Raw genomic sequence first — 22,864 nt, forward strand, 5'->3', positions numbered from 1 at the left:
ACTCCCTAGGATAACGGTGAAAGGGAGTTTCAAAAACAAACGAACAAAACAATAAACAAAAAACAACTACCCCACAATTGCACAACAGGATCAGAGGGCAAGTAGCCAGGACTGGAGCCAGAAGATAGAGTGCTCCCAGAGCGATGTTGCCAAGAAAAAAGGAAGAAAGGAACTCATAGATGGACATGTTTGACCAAATTGTAAGGAGTTTTCTAGTTCTGATGGAAAGTTTGGGGCTTAATTAGTGACAAGTATGTAAATTAATCAAATAAAAAACTCAGGGAAACTATTAAATCCAGAGAAAACTAAAAGTAATACAAGAATGGAAATACAATCATAGTATGCTATATGGCTTAGCTGTTAACAATTTTTATATAATCATAGTAAGGTAAACATCGAATACATTGAGTAAACGAAAATATGTTATATAATGATATTGTGAAGATGGGGCAGAATTTCTACATATGGAGAGCTGTAATAAGAAAGACATAGCTTAACCTTTTATAGAAAATCAGAAGTTAGACATATAAAATTTAAAAAAATCAAGAGATATCAGTATTAGCATGATATTTACAGCTCAAAAAATAATCACCTCTGGGGAGGAGTTTGACATAGAAAGAAGTAGGAAATTGCAGTTAGTCCCTGATGAAATTTTATAGTAGGTAAAAAAGGACCAGCAGTATTGCCATCGCCTAAAAGTTTGTAAGAAAAACAGGATCTCTGACTTCATTCCAGGCTTACTGAATCAGACTCTGCATTTTAACAAGAATCCTGGGTGGAATTTGGGAGGAATTATTCTCAATGTGTGTATCCTCATTGTGTTTAATCTCAAAAAGGAGGTGGAAAATTTGGAGATATAAAGCTTCAACAATTTATAAAATGAGCCATGGGAACATGTGAACAAGTAGGATTATCTACACCAGAAAAGTCAGGGTGGGGGGTTGGAGGTGGCAGGGTCACCTGAAAAGAAAGGAAGGTCAACACTAAATATGCATTACTAAGTCAGAATCCTGTTTGCATTTGAAATCAGAAATAATAAAAACAGTCTAATGTGATGATATGAATAACAATTCTGTGATTATGTGGGAAGACTTCCTTGATAATGAGAATGCTACATTTAAGATTCGTTATTGAGAAGGAAGTAGATCTTTGTGATACCTTACATTGCCTGCAGATAGTTATATTGACAAGGGTGGAATCACTTCTTACTGGGTTAGTAGAAAGTTATGTTTAATAAACATTCTGCTTAAAAATCCCTAAACCACCCCTAAAAGTACTCCCAGCACGTCAACACATCAAACAGCCAGTTCCTCTTCCTCAGCCCCTTTATGTTAAATAAGTTGCTCTTTCTTTGGTTGCGCTTGAGACGGACTAGTTGTCTTGAGTATAGGCACCAAGAAGGTGTATTTTTGAACAATAGAAAATCTCACTGCCCACTAGGGAGGGGATGCTTACACTATGCAAAACACGAGACAACTGAAGAATCTACAACTTCCACTTCATGTTCACTAATGGGGGTGCCTTTCACATTATCTCTGAGTTCAATGGTGCAGAACATTTGAGAGGCCTCAGGCAAGTGCACAGATAGAGACCCAATACTGTATATAAAACATTTAACCATTATCAATCAAGTTAACAAACTGTTAACATATGTTCTAGCCTCCTGCCTTGACATATCCTTCACATAACCGAATTGGCCAGGTTTTAGCTCCTTGAAGTCTTACTGGAACATGGTGGCATGGGTAAAGATAGCACAGCCATCTTGAGCCATTGCCTGTCCCCTTTGCTTCTACCTCTGTGAAGGGCCTCGCATGACCAGTGTGGCCTCTAGGTCTCTCCTGTGCCTAGATATGTTTGCACTGAAGGTGTCATCTGTGCTTGGGAGAGTAGACCTGGAGAGGCCTACACAGACCCTGGAAGTGGGCTTGAGGTCTTCTGGGCTAAGAATTCTGGGGTCCTGGATTCTGGGTGAGCACATTGCCTTAACCCCACAGAAGACTTTCTTTGTAGGGAGGACTGCAGCTGGAGGATGGTTGAAGGAAAACTTTCGGAGTGAGGTGCTATGATATTGTGATATAATAAGAAATCTATATTTGGTCCCTGCACCTGGTTACTGAGACAGAGCTCCTAAGACCTTTCTAGATGGAGATGCCAGGTGAGTCTTCTGTTCTAAAAATTTGGTCTTTGATCCTGGTTCCTGACACGGGTTCCTAAGACCTTTGTAATTTCCTTAGTGATAGGATTGTCTGACACAGAGCTCCTAAATTCCTGGAATTTTCTGGCATTTTCTGTCCTAATGAAGTGTATCTTGGTGGGCTTCTAAATAGCCTCAGGATGAGAGTTGGTTGCTAGGGGAACCAATCATGTGATTAGGAGTTGGAACTTCTACCCCACTCCCTGACCTCTGGGAAGGGGAGAGGGATTGAAAGTTGAATTCACCTACAATGGCAAAGGTGATCAACTTTGTAATGAACTGTATGTAATGAAGCTTCCATAAAAACCTCAAAGAACAGATTTTGGGAAGCTTCTGGGTTGCTAAAGACATGGAGGTGCTAGGAGGGTGGCGCACCTGGACAGGGCATGGGAGCTCCACACCCCTTCTCCATGCCTTGCCCTGTGCATCTCTTCCACTTGGCTGTTCATCTGTATTCTTTGTACTATCCTTGATAGTAAACCAGAAAATATAAGTGAAATGTTCCCCTGAGTTTTGTGAACTGCTTTAGCAAATTCATTGAACCTGAGGAGGGAATTGTGGGAACCCTCAATTTATTGCTGGTTGGTCAGAAGTGCAGATCACAACCTGGGACTTGCAATGGGCATCTGAATTGGGGGCAGACTTGTGGGACTAAGTCCTTAGCCTGTGGGTTAAGGTAAAGAGTGTTAGAATTGGGTTAAATTGTAGATGCCCAGTTTGTGTCTGCTGGAGAACTGGTTGTTAGTGGAGAGAAATCCCCACACATATTTAGGTGACCAGAAGGGAGGTATGGAGAGTAAGAGTAGAAAAAAGTTTAGTGTTTCCTCTTATAGGTCCCATCACTCTCACATTCCAGCCTCTATAGTTTAATTTCTTTTTTTCTTTTTGAGACAGAGTCTTGCTCTGTCACCCAGGCAGGAGTGCAGTGGCATGATCTTGGCTCACTGCAACCTCCACCTCCCGGGTTCAAGCGATTCTCCTGCCTCAGCCTCCTGAGTAGCTGGGACTATGGGCGTGCGCCATTATGCCCAGCTAATTTTTGTATTTTTAGTAGGGACAGGGTTTTATCATATTGGCCAGGCTGGTCTTGAACTCCTGAGCTCAAGTGATCTGCCTGTCTCGGACTCCCAAAGTGCTGGGATTACAGGCATGAGCCAACACGCCTGGTCTATAGTTTAATTTCTATGAATAAATATACATACGATAATTCAGTACTGATAGCTTCCTCAGCTCTTTGAGTTATGGAACCTGTGTGTTCACCACCAAATATCAGGGTCTTAAAAGTGTGAGAAACCAGGATTCCACAGACAGAGCAATGACACTCAGTGTTGTCCATTACCTTTGGAAAAAGACTTTACGCTTTATATAATACTTTACTGAACTGAAATGTGGGTGGTGAGAGGGTGATTATTTTCTCAGTGATTCAAAATAATGTCTAATGTTTACTTTAAATCTCTGATGCAATTGTGAGGCACATTTAGAACAAAATCCAGCAAGGAAGCTGACATACTATACACAAGACTGGAGGAAAGACGCTCTGACCAAATAAAGCATTATTAATTTTCACAGCTTGCATGACTGTCATAGTCTTCATTATTTCATCAGTGTAGTCTAAGCTAGAACACTATTCAGTCTCACATTCGCAGGTTCCATTCCTCACAGAATGGAAAAACATCATAGATAAGATGCACCATTAGGGCCGGGCACAGTGGCTCACGCCTGTAATCCCAGCACTTTGGGAGGTTGAGGTGGGTGGATCATCTGAGGTCAGGAGTTCAAGACCAGCCTGGCCAACATGGTGAAACCCCGTCTCTACCAAAAAAAAAAAAAATGCAAACAATTAGCTGGGCATGGTGGCGGGCGCTTGTAGTCCCAGCTACTCAGGAGGCTGAGGCAGGAGAATTGCTTGAACCCTGGAGGCGGAGGTTGCAGTGAGCTGAGATCACGCCGCTGCACTCCAGCCTGGGCAACAAGAGTGAGAAACTCCATCTCAAAAAAAAAAAAAAAAAAAAAAAAAAAAAAGATGCACCATTAATGTTTGTATCAAAGCCATCCTAATCATCCAAGATGATTACAGATACAAAATATCCATATTAATGATATTTACATTATATGGTACATCACATTATATGACACTGAATATAATAGCTGGATTGACTGTATTGTACTTCTAAAGAAAAATACCCATTGGAAAATCTGCTAAGAAACTAGAAAACTGGACAACCAACTTAACCAGGGCTTCACTTGGAAAAAAAAAATACAATCCGATGAAAGGTAGGTCTAGATGTCACCATAGTCTTCTCTGTCTCCTCTGCTCAGTGTCTAATAATACACCTTAGAAACCAAGAATATATTAACAAATGGTAATAGCTTTTTTTTTTTTTTTTTTTTTTTGAGAGATGGAGTCTCGCTCTGTCACCCAGGCTGGAGTGCAGTGGCGAAATTTCAGCTCACTGCAAGCTCTGCCTCCCGGGTTCATGCCATTCTCTTGCCTCAGCCTCCTGAGTAGCTGGGACTACAGGCAACCCGCCACCACTCCTGGCTAATTTTTTGTATTTTTTAGTAGAGACGGGGTTTCACTGTGTTAGCCAGGATGGTCTCACTCTCCTGACCTCGTGATCTGCCCACCTCGGCCTCCCAAAGTGCTGGGATTACAGGCGTGAGCCACCATGCCTGGCCAACAAATGGTAATAGCTTTTAACTTGACAGAAACCTCTGCTAAGAAAAATATGACTGGGATATAGGGTGATTTTCATCCAAATTTCTTGGTCATCTCTTAACAATCCATAATTTATTGTAATGTCCCCCATGGAAAACTATGTGGAATAGAAACAATTAAAATAACCCTTTCATTTAGTGAATATTTATTGAGCATCTATTATGTGCTAGACAGTGGGTTAGATCCTGGGAAACAATAAGAAGAGAGGGAAACAGTGGTCTAATCACATGAGAGATAGCCTTTAATCACAGAATCACAGAATCAGAAGAGAGGAATGTAAAATGACAGCACTGCTTAGCTCATAAAGCCCTCTGCTGCATTCTACAAAGTCTAAGGTTTTAGTAATATTTTTGTACAATTTCTCCCTCAAAAAAGTGTTGCAACTCTTTAAATTAGTTCAGCGAGAAATCAACTTGCTGTGCAAATGCTTGGGCTAGCTGGGGTGTGAGTAGCGCGTCTGTGTTTGAGAACACTGAACCTTGAAAGAACATCTGTTTGGCTATTTTGTTAAATGAAACTCAAGTCACCCAGGCTTTACTAATAGCTTCATTGTGCTTCATGACTTTCCACCACATAAACAAAATTACCTAACACCTCAGTCTGTGGCTAAAACTGTCATTTATCAGTTAAAGCCCACTGACAAAGAGCAAACTGGAGAAACTGCAATTCCAGCTTCTCTATTCAAACAGTTTTCACATTTCAATAATCACTCTCTAGCTGGCTCCCTGCTAGATAAGTACCTCCAGGGAAAGGTTGCTTCCTGGGAATGTTTATTTTACAGGAACAGATTGATGGCCTCAAAGTCTGGCCACTTTCTAGGTGATGAAATTGTTTATTCACATTGACTCTTCCCAGGAGAGAATAGAGTGGAGAGAAAGGCAGTGATTGCTAAAGTTGATTTTATGATAGCGTGTCTACAGATTCCTCAAGGAATGTTGTGAAATTCCAAAGCAAATTCTTAAAGTTAAATTCATTTTTAAAAATCTAAAGCTCCTACCCTATGTTGCACTTCTGAGGATTAAAGAATCTTAGTCAAAGGGACTTCAGAGATTGTCTAGTCCAATGAGTCCAAATGTTTTTTTTTTTTGACCTTGGTACATATTCTTGAAAGTAAACTTCCCACCAGAGTTTCCATCTGTAAATATATAAAATAAAGCTGCCTTGATAGAAACAGGCATGAGGGAGCCAGAGCTCCACATTTCCCCAACCCCCAGGGCAAATGGGGTTCCTGAGGTACCTCTTTGGCATCTCTGGGTTTTCTGGGAAGAAAATGGGTCTTGTGCAACTTCTTCCTTTCACCCAATCCTAAAGCCAGGAGCCCCTGTACGTCCTGACAGCTCAGCTCTTCTTGGGTAATCTCAAACAGTCACAGGGTGCTGCAAATCTAGGGAGGTCTGGAATGGCAACTTAGTGAAACTATCATTTATGACATCTTTGTCCATTGTCAATCATTTAATAACTATCTGATACAAAGTCTTACAACCAAAAAGTAGAATGGAGCGACCCAAAATTGTGTGTGTGCGTGTGGGTGTGTGTGTGATGGAGGTGAAGAGCATTGGAGTGGTAGCAGGAATTCCAGACATGAAATCCCATAAAGGGGCATACACAAATGGTGACCTGAGGTTTCAAGGAACTGGAGCTGGAAGAGGGAAGTGCCAGGGTCCCCTGAAAGGGACCACATCTCCAGCAGAGCACTTGACAGGTGAGCAGAGAAGGAGAAAGATCAGCAGTTGTCTGAAGTTAGGTATCACGTTTTAGAGCCCAGTTTTCCCATCTGTGTAGACACCTGCTCCCTCGAGAGGAGGCTGATCTGTAAATGCCATCACCAACATCTACACAGCCCACCACCACTGACTCACACACAGCTCATTCAGTCCTCACAACAACCCTTAGAAGTGTAGGTTAACATTAGCACCATTTTGTAGATAAGGAAATTGGGAGTTAGAGAGGCTAAGTGGCTTGTGCAAGCTCAGATTGCCTGAAGAGGCAAAAACCAACACTGCTAACTCCACTATGCCACTGAGGCACGACACAAGTGCAAAAGGAGACACAGTAGACAAGAGAGGTCAACAACATTTTCTGAGGAAGCATTATTTTAAATTATGGTGTGAGACAGACATGATTTCGGAGCAGGTGGGTGAGGTGCAGACACTCTGTGAGATAGATGGGGTGAGGTGACGGGGCAGTAGGAGTGCCAACCAGCTCGCCTCTCCCAGGGAAGGTTCTGCGACCCAGAGGCAGCATAGCAGAGGGGCCAGGAGCAGGGACACGGGATCAGACTGCCACGGTTTTATCTTGGCCCTGCCATCAACTGCCCCCACTATCTTGAGTAAGCTGTGTGACCACTCTGTGCCTCAGTTTCCATAACTGAAATAAGTATGAAGCTAATAGTACCTACTTCACAGTCTTGTTGCAAGAGTTACAGAAATCAGTATTAGTGAAGCTCTTAGTGTCCAGTATATAGTAAATGCCACACGAGGATTGTTGAAGACATTCTTAGCAGGCTACAGGTGCTCACAGATAAGCAATAGCAACTTTTTGAAACTTGAAAACGAGGTTACGATATTCTAGCTTCCTGTTTTCCTGTAATTTGTGACCACAATCCCTGGCCTCATGACTTTATGAACTTCACTTTATTGCCCGTTCTTTCCTCACTCTTTCCTAACCTTTGTGTGATCATCCCTACTGAATGGCCAAGCCCCTGATTCCCGGTTTATCTTCCTTCATGTACTTCATGACTAGTCAACTGTTACTGCTGCACACAAGACACGGTTCAATCTGTGGTTTGTTTTTAAATGTACCTAGGAGTCATACTAAAATTCTGCCAACAGGTGGAGCTCAAAGAATAGCTTAAAATAAAATTAACCCGATTCGGCAAACCTGGAAAAAAAGGGAAGAAATAAAATCATTCTGATACGACTGTATGATTTTGCTATTCATCAGAAAATAAGAGGAAATAAATTGAAGGCAATATAAGTAGACAGTGTTAATAACACAGTGGTTGGTTTTTCTACAGTGGAAGATGATTTACCTAGATTTCCGTCTCTAGGGAAATTCAAGTGAAGATTTTCATTTTACATTCATAAAGATGACAATATACTACAAGAGTTGAGCTATTTGGATTTATTTGATTTGCTTTACTTAAGACAAGTTCAGGATAATGATGCTTAGTCTGTTCAGATTCATAAATAATACTCAAGATGTCAAACTGAATGAAATGTTGCAACTCTAGCCAGAATTCCAAGGAGATGTGTGAAATGAGCTTTTATTTAAAATGTGCCAATGTTTAACTAGGAAGTTTAGAAAACCTTTATGGGTTTCTATAAGCTGGGAAGAATATCTTCCACTCAATCGTTTTACTAGAATCTCCTTAAACCCCAAAACTCTGCTCCTGTGATTTCTTTGACTGCAGAGACCTGCTTAGGGAGCTGTGCCCTGAGCAGCGATTCTACCCTGGAAGACTGAGCTCATCTTTGGTGAGGCTATGATGTTTGGCAAATGATCTTTAAGACACAATTAAGGGAATGAAGAATTCTTGGAGGGCAAAATGGTAGGGCATTAAATCTTTTGTGATGGATCTTTATGGTTTTGTGAGGTGTGATAAATTGGATGTCATTGGATGCTGGATTTATAAAGTGCTTTTCCTCCAAACAATTCAAAGATCTTTTTCATGGGAGCTGTGACTATAAAGCCAAGAGTTTGGATCCATATGAACCACCCCAGAAATAAACCTCACTGCTTCAAAACTGCATCACGTAGGTGGTTTTACACCTGCAGCACCTCTGAGCACGGGCTGTTGAGCATGACTATCCTGCTCTCTTAGAGGAAAAAAATGCAGTATTTCCTCATCAGTTCATTTGCCAAACGTCACATTTTCAGGCCCTGGCAGAGCATGTACTCAAACCCAGGTTTTCTAGTTCCAAATATATAGGTCATTGACTTATGCCTTAGTTTCGAGGTCAGCTCAATAGATGTTCTCCAAGGTCATGTCCAGTTCATGATTTGACTACTCTATCATCAACTCAACGGAGTACTCAGACTGCATCAGTTTGTTCTTTCATTCAATTTGTCTAGTGAAATGCAAACATTAGAGAGCGAGGTAATTGATATCTCAAAATAATAGGGTTGTTTTTTACCCCACATATCATAATTTTTCAGCCTGACTTCATATATGTGAGAAAATGAGTGAACAAAAATGAAGAATGACAAAGATATTTCTTGATAATGGACTGACTAAAGAAACTATGGCACACCTATAAAATGTAATGTAATGCAAGCAATGTAAATCATGTTCTCCAAGAGTATTTAAAATTATGGAAAACTGTTCTCCGGGCTGGGCACGGTGGCTCACGCCTATAATCCCAGCATTTTGGGAGACAAGGTGGGTGGATCACTTGAGCCAAGGGGTTCAAGACCAGCCTGGGAAACATGGTGGGACTCTGTCTCTACGAAAAATACAAAAACTAGCCAGGTATGGTGGCACATGCCTATAGTCCCAGCTACTTGCAAGGCTGAGGTGGGAGGTTCACTTGAGCCTGGGAGGCGAAAGCTGCAGTGAACCAAGATCTCACCGCTGCACTCCAGCCTGGGCAACAGAGTGAGACCCTTCTCAAAAAAAAAAAAAAAAAGAAAGAAAAAAAAGATACATTGCTATGTGAAAAAAGCAGGCTATGAAGCAATGAGTATCATATATTTTTAAAGTAATATATAGATAAATAAAAGACTGGAATGATGTATACCAAGATGTTAATAGTTATTTTCTTTGGAGGGTGTTGATAACATATAATATGTTATTTTCATTTTCTCTTTTTGAAAAACTTCCTCATATTGTCTGCAATTATCAAGCTTTACATCTATAATGAGAAAAACATGAATTTGATTTTATATGAAGTCAAGCAGTTTAAAAGCTTTGTAAAAATAAGATATTATAAGATCTGTTTCCAGAAAAATTCTATAGGAGAAAACATTTCCTACCTCATTTCCTTTACCTCCAGCACTGGACTTCATTTCCTTTGGTTGCTTTGTAAAAGAAAACAACAATATTTAGATGGAAAAGCATTATCAGCTACATATTAAGTTGGTCGTACCTGTTGCGGTCATTTTCTTGGCCACAGTTTTGACTTCTAGAACAGCAACATATTTTCAAACTCATTGAAACCTGACACAACTGCCCAGATTTGACAGAGAGGAGTTTCCTGTCTCACCCCATGGGATGCCACTTTAGAAACTTGGAGTTGGCATATCACTAAGACTTTAGCTTTCAGTCAACATTTTCGAAAAAGGAAATCATGCTGGGAACTTTCAGAATCTATACAGCACTCCTTGGCGCCTGGAAAGCATCATTTTAGCTAAGCTGTAGGTGATGATTCCCAATCCCTGAGAAACCAAGTCTAACGAAGACTAGAAAAATAAACTACAGGGCAGTGTGTACCATATAGCATAGTAAGCTATTAAATGACATTACAGGGGAAGAAGACTTACTGACACAAAATAAATGTGCATTGATGTAGATTACTGAATGAAAAAAAGAGGCAGAAAACAAATTTTATAGTGTGTATTATTTGATCCCACTTTTAAAATACATATATAATTATTTTAGAAAAAAGAATGAAATTATAAAAATGAAGAAGTTAATAGCGTTGCAAAGTGGTGGAATTATAGGTGACAATTTTTAAAATTTTTCTTTTTTTTCTTTTTTTTTGAGATGGAGTCTGGTTCTGTCACCCAGGCTGGAGTGCAGTGGCACAATCTCGGCTCACTGCAAGCTCCACCTCCAGGGTTCATGCCATTTTCCTGCCTCAGCCTCCAGAGTATCTGGGACTACAGGCGCCCACCACCAAGCCTGGCTAATTTTTTTTTTTTTTTTTTTTTTTTTTTGTATTTTTAGTAGAGACGGGGTTTCACTGTGTTAGCCAGGATGGTCTCGATCTCCTGACTTCGTGATCCACCCGCCTCGGCCTCCCAAAGTGCTGGGATTACAGGCGTGAGCCACTGCGCCAGGCTAATTTTCTGTATTTTTAGTAGAGACGGGATTTCACCGTGTTAGCCAGGATGCTCTTGATCTCTTGACCCTGTGATCCACCCTCCTCGGCCTCCCAAAGTGTTGGGATTACAGGCGTGAGCCACCACGCCCAGCTGATTTTTATTTTCTATATTTATTTTTGTATTAAAAAGCAAAGTTATTATGCAGAAGATAACCAATGTGAAAACGCTTTGCAAGAGCAAAAGACCACTGTAAAAACTGAGGTTTTGTTATTTTATATATTGTACCTGCTGAAATAAAGACCTAACTGATTTTTGGTGTGTTCCTTGTTCTTCCTTTTCCATGTGACTTTTTTGGGAGACAGACATTTCTAAGTTAAGGGCTCTTCCTACTTTACTTATTACTAAACATGGCCCCTTGTTGAAAGTTCCTGGATGGTAGGAATTGAGCCTAACAAAAAAGAGTGCTAGTTACAAGGATGTTTATAATACATTATTCTTTATTACATTTTATTTATTTGGCAGTTTATTTGACAGGAAGGATTAAAAACAAAACAAAACATACTCCTCAATACTAAAAACCAAACATTTTATCTTTTAGAAAGTAGACATTTTATCTTTTAGAAACATTTTATCTTTTAGAAAGTAGACTTTTATCATTTTAACATTTTATCTTTTAGAAAGTAGACTTTTTGAGGCAGATTCAGTGGCGCCCAAACATTCAGTGAGGCAATTGCTAAATGTTAATAAGCAGAAGGAGTAACATGGTTTCTGGCGAGAAAAATAGTAGGGTCTTTGGGAATCTTAAGAATTATGCAGAATTAGAAAGAAGGCAGAAAGAGAACTCTAGGTCAAGAGGAAGTGGTAAAAGCAAGAAGCAACAGGATGAGGCTGGGTCAGAGCTTTCTAGACATGACAAGGTGAACTGTGTACAGCAGCTATACCAAGGAACATCCTATTTCCCCAAGCTAGCCTCCTAAAATGAAAGCGCTTTTAGCCAGACATGGTTTTGGAGATGTAAAAATGAAACCAGGAATGCCTATCCATTATTGCATGTGTGTATGTGTGTGTGTGTGCCTTTGTACTTCTGTATTTATATATCATAGTTGTACATATTTTTGTGGTACATGTGATATTTTGATACATGTATACAGTGTGTAATGATCAAATTTGGGTAATTGAGATATCTGTAACCTATCTTTTCTTTGTGGTAGGATCATTACAATTCTTCTCTTCCTGCTATTTAAAAATATACAATAAATTATTGTTCCCTTCTACACTATTTTTTTTTTTTTTTTTTTTGGAGACTGAGTCTTGCTCTGTCACACAGGCTGGAATGCAGTGGTGCTATCTCAGCTCACTGCAAACTCCGCCTCCCGGGTTCAAGCGATTCTCCTCCCTCAGCCTCCTGAGTAGCTGGGATTACAGGCAGTTGCCACCATGCCGGGCTACTATTTGTATTTTTAGTAGAGACGAGGTTTCACCATGTTGGCCAGGCTGGTCTCGAATTCCTGACCTCAGGTGATCTGCCTGCCTCAGCCTCCCAAAGTGCTGGGATTAGAGGCGTGAGCCACCGTGCCCGGCCCCTTCTACGCTACTGAATATCAGAATTTATTCCTTTTATCTAACTGTATCTTTGTATCCATTAACCAACTTTCTCTTATCCCCCTGCCCTGCTTCCTTTCCTAGCCTCTGGTAACTACCATTCGACTGTCTGCCTCTAAGAGATCTACTTTTTTAGTTCCCACATGAGTGAGAACATGAAATATTTATCTTTCTGTGCCTGGCTTATTTCATTTAACATAATGACCTCCAATTCCATCCATGTTGCTGCGTATGACACAATTTCATTCTTTCAATGGCTGAATAATATATTCCATTGTGTAACACCTCTCCATTTTAAGACAGATTATCTTTGTAATTATCAGCAAAATATACTGACCAACTACTATGTATACTTAGGTACTATGTCTTCATTGTTTAGAACTCAGACCTTCTGAGTCAAGGTTCAGTGCTCTTTCTACCATTTTAATTCTTCACTGATGGCATGTTTTATTTCTCAGCATGGTTCCTAATTTCTTTTCTTTTTTTTTTTTTTCTTTTTCTTTTTTTTTTTTTTGAGATGCAGTCTCGCATTGTGGCCTGGGCTGGAGTGCACTGGCACGATCTCAGCTCACTGCAACCTCCGTCTGCCGGGTTCAAGTGATTCTCCTGCCTCAGCCTCCAGAATAGCTGGGATTACAGGCGCCTGCCACCATGCCTGGCTAATTTTTTGTATTTTTAGTATAGACGGGGTTTCACTATGTTGGGCAGGCTGGTCTTGAACTCCTGACCTTGTGATCCACCCACCTTGGCCTCCCAAAATGCTGGGATTACAGACATGAGCCACCGTGCCCGGCCGGTTCCTAATTTCAAATAAGAAATATTTAAGCACAAAACATACTGAATTATAAGGCGTATTAGTAAAGATGTCTGATTTTGGGGAAAAAAAAGCCTGTTTAACTTTACTGCCAAACTTACCAAATGTCGAAATTCTACTGAGAGACTCCCATTGGAAGATTCTTCAATAGACATGGCTTTGACATTAGTTCCACAAAGTACAAATCTTCGGTTGCTGGAGAGGAAATCTTAGCTATTTACATGGTCTCAGGTAAAATAAATTTACAAGAGCAGCAACAAAGTTTCCACAAAGTAAATGTCTTACCTTAGAGTTGAAACATTCCTGTAAAACCAAGAAGATTCTTTAAAACAAGCTATTTAATAGATCTAGGAATAACTTTCTATGATAGTTTATTTTATTTATTTATTTATTTATTTTGAGACAGAGTCTCGCTCTGTCGTCCAGGCTGGAGTGCAGTGGTGCAATCTTGGCTCACTACAACCTCTGCCCCCTGGGTTCAAGCGATTCTCCTGCCTCAGCCTCCTGAGTAGCTGGGATTACAGGCATGAGCCGCCGCACCCGGTCTCTATGATACTTTAAAGGATAGTATATAAAATTGATTTCAAGTTTTTATAGTAAAATTTTAAATTTAGGATACCATTGAATTTTGTTAAATGTTTGAACTTCAAAGTCAAATATTTGAAGTACATTCATTATATAATGTTAGATAAGTAAATTTAAAAGTTCAAAATTATTCTATAAAATAAAGGCCATTCATTTTTAAAAGTCTTACATTTGGAATTGTAATTCAAAACGAAATTAGAAAACTTACTTGTCAATTGATGCCTTAACCTTTACCTGATAGTTTAGTTCTGGCAATTTTATTAGTAGCCTGGAAAGAGATATCAATAAAAAAAATCAAAGATAAAAATTAAAAGTGTTTAAAAACCCTTTTTTATATTTAAACATTTAAATATACTATGAAATATGCATATAAATAAACCTTACATTATCTACAGTTATATGTTAGTGTGTTTTAAAAATGTATAATGCCTCTTTAGTTTGCCATGTAACTAATGTTGACATCAGTCACTTAATAGCATTATTGGCAAACATTTGGAAGTGTTTCCATATTGCTTCAGTTGATGTTTGCTGGATAATACGTTGGCCAGGTCAGAAAAAAAAAAGCTATATATTTTGGCTAAAGCTCAAATGTGGGTTAAATGTACAGATATAAAAAAATTCTTATATGGCTTCATTTTATCCTCATATTACAAAAAAGCACTTTGTGAGCTTTAATGATAAGTGTTTTATGGTGAACATACTAAGACAGAACTGTAGTAAAATATGGAAAATCCCAACTTGAATACATTTGAAACACTTTCAAAACACTATATTTAAGTAACAGCAAAAACGTTCATTAAAAAAACAAACTTCAAATGAACAAGTAATTGAAGTTCAGTATAAAAATTCCTTTAATTCCTTCTGGTGTCAGCCCATCCTTTATTCTTTTGCTTTCTCCAGCTCCTCAGATTTCTGTCCTGTGATGTAACCTACCTGTGGGTTCAGTGCAGTTTCAGAGATAGTCATTCAATCCCTCACACATTCATTCATTTACTCATGCCCTCATCCTAAACTTTGCTCATTCACTCAGCATGCACTGAGCTCCTCATATTTATGCAGTACACCCTTAGGTACTAGAGAACTGATGTAGCAAAGACTGCAGAAGGGAGAAACGTGGACGTGGCTCTACATAAAAGGAGGGAGTCCAGGCACACAAATGGAAAACAGAGAATATGGCGATAAGCAGCTCACTGGCATTAGAGAAATGAAATCATAGCTCATGGGCAGCCCAAACAAAAGGGTGGGTAGAATGTTGCAAAGGCTCTTTAAAAGTCCTGTACAAGGCACAAGATTGGTTCAGGATCTGGAGTATGTTGAGTGTGCAGTCATTGGTGGTGAATGGTGAGAAGGGGGCATAGTCACATAAAATCAGGCCAGATGTTTTTCCTCTCCACCTTCCTTTTTATACCACTTCAGGAAGGATCTGATTCACTGCAAGATGCTGACAAGTGCCATGGAGTCCAAGGTCATTCTTCCTTTTGAAACAGGAGGATGCAAAAGTATGGCAAAGAGGGGTTTTAGGAAAACCTTGAGTAAAGGATCACCTATCAAGATGGTGGGGAATAGGGTGCAGAGGAGGAGGATGGGTACCCAATAGGTAGAAGAGGAAGACAGAGCCTTCAACCAGGGGCTAATGTTCTATGTCCCTGGCCATCAGTTCACACAACATGCAAGTGGTGCTGATTCAGAGTGCCTCTTCCACTTAGAATTTTTTTGCTAGGCAATCCCTACTCATCTCCCCTTTTGTCCCAGAGAGCATCTTAGACTTACTATATCATCTATAGGAGTGTCTCAAGGAAAAGTAGAATGTCCACCACTTCTCCATCTTATTTCACTCTCCTCCGAGTTATACAGAGATGTCGGAATGAGGAAGGAACAATTTTTGAGAAGAATGCTTATTTTTTATTTTACTTTATTATTCTGTTTTATTTTTTGAGATGGAGTCTTGCTGTTGTTGCCCAGCCTGAAGTGCAGTGGCGTGAGTGCAGTGTACTGCAACCTCTACCTACTGGGTTCAAGCGATTCTCCTGCCTCAGCCTCTTAAGTAGCTGGGATTACAGGCATGAGCCAACATGCTCAGCTAATTTTTCTATTTTTAGTAGAGATGGGGTATTGCCATGTTGTCCAGGCTGGTCTTGAACTCCTGACCTCAGGTGATCTGCCTTCCTCAGGCTCCCAAAGTGCTGGGATTATAGGCGTGAGCCACCATGCCTGGCCAACAGTGCAATTTAAAAAGGAACCTGGCCTCTGCCTTTTGTTTTCAGTTCTTAAATCTTGGTGCAAAATTCATACAAAGAAACTGATTAAGAAGTTAATGGTGTCTTAAAAATGCAAACCGAAGACAAATGCCTTCTCTTTAAAAATGGAGTTCCAATAGTGATATGTGATCAGCAACCTTATCATAGAACCCTAAACTGCTCTGTACCATGGCATCACCACCTCTTGACCTGTTAGTCTGTGGTTTCAGCTTTCCAGAGGTGACCTAGTGATTAGGCCTTTAAAACTTTAGTGCTTGGAGTTTCAGGCATGATGAGAACCTTTGAAAGTAAGAACTCAAACTCATTGTTCTCAGCATCATTAGGGAAAACTGTAAGTTTTGACGCTAATGCTAATAGGATCAAATTCACAGAGAAAGCAACAATAACACAAAAGTTATGTCTTTAAATCAGGTACACAATAGGGACATATGGAAAACTGTGGTATTGGGAGTTTTTGTGGAAAGTCTAATAAGCCAGTTACTGGGTAATCTCAGGAGATGAATGTGCCACTGTGTTTCCTGGATAGGATATTCAAAGCCTTCCAGAATCTGTCCCCAATCTGTCCTCTCAATTCTGTCTCTTCCCTGCTCCCCACGATTACCAGACAGAGCCAGGAAGCCATTATTTCTGTATTCTCACTCTCCTACAATCCTCCTCCCCTCTCCCAATCTCTCCAGTCTTTTCTCAAGTCAACCTTTTCAGCAATTAATTTCATTGTGCCTGATATTATGATTCCATACTTTCAGGCTAATATCCCTTATGTCCTCATCTGCACTGTCATGCTCTTGACAAGCAGGGCTCTCATCTTCACATTTCTGTGGGTATTTCCCCAAGCTCAGAGCTGGGCACACAGCAGATGGTTCAATAAAGAACAGCTGAATGCAAGCCACAATGAGAGAAATTGGCCTTGATCATCCAGAGACTATAGCTCCACAAACACACGAAATAGTAGAAAATGTTTTTGCCTACCTTAGTTTTACAGTGAACTGAATTAGGGTTTTAAGTACCAACGGCCTCTGAGGGTGGGTTGGCATACATGGCTGTCGCTCAACCACAAATGAGCTAGATGAAAAGGAAATAAAGCGCATCATTTGAAAACACTGAAAATATTGAGACTGAAAACCACAGAGGAACAGGATGCTATCCACTCAAAGTCCAAATTTTCTACACTTAGAAGATATTCAAACCCCCAATTAAACTCAAATCTTTACAATGACTTTTTATAAATCATTTCACAGCAGTAAATGATTCTTAATTGTTATAATTGAGTCATGAATAAAAGCCCCAGTCCATTTAGTAATTTTTTTTTCTTTTGAGAAGGGTCTCCCTCTGTTGCCCAGGCTGAAGTGCAGTGGCACGATCATAGCTCACTGCAGTCTCAACCTCCTGAGCTCAAGTGATCCTCCTGCCTTGGCCTCCTGAGTATCTAGGACTATAGGGATGTGCCACCATGCCTGGATACATTTTTTATTTTTCTGTAGAGATGGGGGTCTTTTTATGCTGTCCAGGCTGTTCTACAACTCCTGAGCTCAAGCAACCCCTTGCCTCAGCCTCCCAAGGTGCTGAGATTACAGGTGTGAGCCACCATACCTGGCCAAAAATAAATTTCATGACTTTTTTTGGACTAAATATTAGGATTTCTGGTACATATTAGTATTTTTTCTTTAGCTTATAAACATGAAAATGTTCTCCATCCTTCATTTCATGGATATGCACATAAGAAAAAACCCTTGAAATTTTTTCTAAGATGTGAAAACTGAGCTGTAGGTGAATGACATGACTTAGCTTGTGGAAAACTGAGCCAGTTGGTGAGAGAAGTGTTGATGAATAAATAGTGAAGAGTAGAAATGTGGTTTCTAAAACTTTCTGGGGTTCTATTCACTTCTCCCTGAGGCTCGTTGTTGAATACTTCCCTGCCACTCTTCCACCTAAACACCAAAACCTTAGGAAGGGTGTTCTTACTTCACAGAATGGAGGATGCCATTGATAGCACTTCACTTACTTCTTGAAAAGGTTGTAGATCAAGAAGGTGACTCTTTCTAGCATGTGAGTTCTTTGCATTGGAATGGGATCACCTTCATATGTCATTTTGGTAGATTGCTCCTCTAGTTTCTCCAATTGCCTTCTCAGTTGGAAAAGACTTTCTGCCAATAGTGTAAAGCTATTGAACAGAAAATGAAAATCAAAGATAGTTTTTCCACTTAATAATAAAAAAGCATTGTAACAATGGGTCATAGTTAATAAACATTAAATTATTAAGTAATTATTAAATTAATTAAATGAATCACTTAATTTGATTTAGGTTAGAGACAGTTTTTATTTTTATTTTCCTAACCCATTTTTTTCTTGAATATGCATATGTTAAATGTTTTCAATGTTTTCTTATTTAAACCTTCAATTATATATGTCATCATTTATGAAATTTTATCAACATTTGGAACTAAATCCCTTTTAATCATTCTTTGTTTAAGCTTATTAAGCATCTATATGTTAAAAATGTGGCGCTCACTAAAGGGCAAAAAAAGAGCAAATTTAAAGCCATAAAAAAATGCCATGATTAATGTTTTCTTATGTAAGCATACTGAAAGAAAAACATATGTAACCGATCTTCCCACACAATATATATTTTTACAAGTCCTAAGTACTAGCCAAAAGTGATCAATGACTCTCTTTAGAGTAAGGTATATTTAGAAATGCTTGCCTCTGATAACTGCTTGGAATTTTATTCACTATGTGGTGATCTCACCTCAGAAACGGAGGTGGCAGTGTGGGCCAGAAGCCTAGGAAAGAGTAAGATTGAAATGGACACGGAAGGGACTTCCAACCACAGGAGACAGAACATCTTATCAGACTTGGAAAGTCCACCTCGCCATACAGTAACTCTTTCTACTTTAAGTATTCCACATATAAGACTATGGCAAGAGTGGTTGAATCCCTGCTGATTTGGGGTATGAGCTCCATTATAGGTTAAGATCTTTATTGCTCCCTTTATTATTGTTTTCACAACAGAGTACAGTGAGTTGTAAAATCAAAGTGTCTTCCCAAGGAAAATCAATGTTTTAAAATGAGTCAAACTCCTTACATTTCTTGACAAGTAGGCCTGGCAGGGCAGAGCTTTTAGTGAGGGGGTCCCCAGTTACTACATATTCCATTGTTTTGACTTGTTCTCTTAAGAATCAATTTTAGATTTTAACTGAACAGTTTCTTTCTTTTTCATATTTTCCAATTGTTCCTTCAATCAAATAGTTTTATTTTGCATTTATGACATGGAAAACCCTATGAACATTTTAATCTTCTAATGCAAAGGATAGTATCTACATTTCATTGCATGTGTGCATACATAGATCGGGAATGCCAGCTTGTATTAACCATTTGTGATTTTTAAAAATTGACACATAAAAATTGTATATATTTGTGGTATACAACATGATGTTTTGATGTATGTAAACATTTGTTGAATAGTTACATCAACGGAATAACATGCATTATTACCTCACATACTTACTTTTCTGTGGTAAGAGCTATTAAAATCTACTTTCTTAGTAATTTTCAAGTATACAATAAATTGTTATTAACTACAGTCACCATGATGTACAATGGATCTCTTGAACTTATTCCTCCTGTCTAACTGAAATTTTCTATCCCTGACCCACATCTTTAACAAAAGAAATCACTATGTTGAAAACACAGAACTAACATTTAAAGTTGAGATATCTATTTTCAAGATTTTGAAACTAGTGCTTCTTTATTCTGTCCTTAAAGAAAGTATATTGCTGGTTTCAAAATTTATTCGAGTCTTTTACGATTGATATCTTGCATGTGAAAATTAAGCATTCAATGGACGCTTTCCTTGATTTCCCCATGAGAATGAAAACTAAGAACACTTATACTATTTGTTTTCAACTGTAGATTTCTCAGCTGCTAATAAGCCATCAATAAACTGAATGAACTGATGTTGCAGTCTAAACCTGCGTTCTCTGGCTGAGTGACACTGAAGTTTTGTGTTTCCTGTGGTTTTCACTAGAAACTGCAGTCGATTCGTTTTACCAGTTCTGAAGCTGGTCGAGCCCATTGTGGAGTGGACCCCCGATGCAGGCGATTTGCTGCCGCCGCTTCCAGTCTTGCAGCTCTTCTATGAGCATGGTGTTCATTAACAGGTCTGTCTCATGGATGATTTGGGTCATTTTACTGAGAGCCTCCTAAAAACAAAGGGGACTACTGAAGAGAGTTTCATAAGAAATAAGTCACTTAGAATTCAATTTACAAAACTATTTGACCTGGTAGACAAAGGCTTGGTTAAAATTTTGACCAAATATTTTACTAAATGCTAGCTTCTATTTGCCAGGCCTTTTCAAACAATTAAATTATTGACAATAAATGATGTCATGAGAAAAGAAGAATGGCCACAGTTTAACATTCTCATCGTGTTTCAGTATAAATATATTGAATGTGTAACTCCTGCGGCAACAATATTGAATCTTGTAGTAACAAAACTGTATAGTTGCTTATTAAAAGGATATTTATATATGTAATTTATTTTTTAATAAAGATGGTTATTCATTTATATTAAAATGAGCTGACTAAAATTTGAGCCTTTCTGTGTTAATTTTTCTTAGGACTTTTTCTGGGTTTTGGGAGGCATAATGGAGAATTATAACTTTCAAAGGGCTAGGGGTTAGAAGATATGAATTTCTGTTCTGGCATTATTGTAAGCTATATGAACATGAACAAAGTATTTAATCTTGCTTAAACTTGGTATTCTCATTTATACAACCAGTTGAATGAACTGAATTATTGTCAAAGTTCCTTCTCTTTTTAAAATGTTATTCCTAAAGTAGAATAAGATGTCATGCATAAAAATATATAGCATAGATTTATTATGCATAAAAACATTAAATTTTTTCTTGGATTAACTACTTGCATACTTAAAATCTGATATATAACTAAGTTTATAATTAATTTAGGGTGAAAATAAATGTTATACTTGTTTGTGCTCACCCAAATTCCTGCACAAAAAATTGAGCCGAACTTTTAGAAATGAACTACTGATTTATCAGTGACTGGTTAAATTTCAATTGCATGTATTTTTCAAGAGAGGTAGAAAAGTGAAATAGAGATGTTTCCCCTCCCTAAAAATATTTCATTAAACCAGAAAAAAAGTTCTTGCTCTCCTTGGAAGAAGTTAGATTGAGTATGTTCAGTTGCCAATGAACTATTTTGAAATCTAGGAAATTGCTTAACACTACGTCATTTCTCAGAGTAGAAACTAGAACACTTATTTTTCCAATAAAATTTTAGTAGTCATCAAATACTATATTAATTATATATGTGCAGTGGAACCCATCTCAGCATATTAAGTACAGCAACTGAAACAGCCACGTCTGAAATAATGACAAATAAAAATTGGGTAAAATTTCCACCTTGAAATTAATGTTAGCTACAGTAAATGTATCACATAAGCAAGATAAATAGGCTCTAAAGGGGTCCAGCATTGTAAACTCATGAAGAGAAGCATGGCAAACAGCGTGGGACTGTTCCTAGAAACCTTGCCGTTTCTTCATTCAGTAAATGGAACTGATAAAATCTGACAGCTTGATTATTTTCAGTTAGTCTAAGTTTAGAAAAAAGGAGAAAAATAGGCAAAAGCCCAAATTAAAATTCTTCACTAACCTTTCTCTTGAAATCGAGGCTGTTAAGCATTTCCTGCAGTGTCAAAACTTCCTGATTCACCATGGCACTATTCTTGTCACTCTGATCTGCAAAGGTAAAGAGATCAGATTTAGAGTTCTCTCTATTCCTGAAAGTCAAGTCAGCCTCAATCCACCATCCTAAAACAGCCCTGGCCCGGAGAACTTATGTGGTAAGAGACTAATTGGGTTCACTAGAGGTGAGCTTGGAAGTCTGTCTGCTCATTTTGCCAGGGAGAATCACATCCAAGCATGCAAAAAAGGACCTCTTTATTTTAGAGCTTCAGGAAAAACCATTCTGCACTGGGTGTTTTGTTTTGTTTTGTTTTGGTGGTGGTGGACAGAGGAGATAAAGTTGCTGTAATGGATGCCTTACTATATACCTCCACATTAATTATATACTTGGTTATTTGGTAAAAGTAAGGAAAGCAGGGATCACCCTTTGTGCCCCTGATTAAATCATATTTGACTCTCTGTTGCCTTCACATACCCCTCCCTGCTCTGCTTCATATGCAGGTTTTATGAGAAACTGCCTGATAGAGTTACAGTCTTATCTACCTAGTCTCATGAACTAATAAAGACTAAGTTCTTTACTTTCCCCCACTTTTTTTTCTTTTTTTTTTTTTCAAAATGCGCTCGCCTCATCGTAAAACTAGCAGTGGGCCAGAGTTGTAACTTAGAAAAATATCTGACTGAAAAAAAAGATTTATCCTTTTTTACAGGGTGATACATGCAATAAATAAACATTATATTATTTAATTTGAACATTAAACTTTATTGACATAGTGGTGGGGCTCAGAAAATGACACCCCAAAATAATGGAACTAAAGCAGCAGCCTCAAGGTCTCTCTCAATCTTTCGTCTCTCCATAGCACACGTGAAGTGCTCGGAAGCTCCCTGATCTACCTAGAAACTGGACCCCTAAGAGGAACACAATTGCCTTTGATCCCTTCCCTGAAATTTCATTAACCAGAGAAACTTAAAACTCATATCACAGAGGAAAAGTCTGAAAATTAAACA

At 38.8% G+C, this 22,864-nt stretch overlaps 1 protein-coding gene across 5 annotated transcripts in view; it reads right to left on the minus strand.

Moving 5' to 3' along the window:
• Positions 1 to 22,864, minus strand: part of STAT4 (signal transducer and activator of transcription 4) — a 122,021-nt gene that overhangs the window by 15,027 nt on the left and 84,130 nt on the right. For all 5 annotated transcript variants that reach the window (NM_001243835.2, XM_047445604.1, XM_047445603.1 and 2 more), the window contains 8 exons: positions 21,828 to 21,913; positions 20,205 to 20,356; positions 18,160 to 18,318; positions 17,127 to 17,219; positions 14,108 to 14,167; positions 13,600 to 13,617; positions 13,416 to 13,509; positions 9,888 to 9,932 (listed from right to left, as the gene is read on the minus strand). In NM_001243835.2, the coding sequence (NP_001230764.1) occupies positions 9,888 to 9,932; positions 13,416 to 13,509; positions 13,600 to 13,617; positions 14,108 to 14,167; positions 17,127 to 17,219; positions 18,160 to 18,318; positions 20,205 to 20,356; positions 21,828 to 21,913 (707 nt within the window). The remainder of the gene's footprint in view (positions 1 to 9,887; positions 9,933 to 13,415; positions 13,510 to 13,599; positions 13,618 to 14,107; positions 14,168 to 17,126; positions 17,220 to 18,159; positions 18,319 to 20,204; positions 20,357 to 21,827; positions 21,914 to 22,864) is intronic.

This window comes from Homo sapiens, chromosome 2 (genome assembly GCF_000001405.40).
Source record: "Homo sapiens chromosome 2, GRCh38.p14 Primary Assembly".
Classification (NCBI taxonomy): Eukaryota; Metazoa; Chordata; class Mammalia; order Primates; family Hominidae; genus Homo; species Homo sapiens.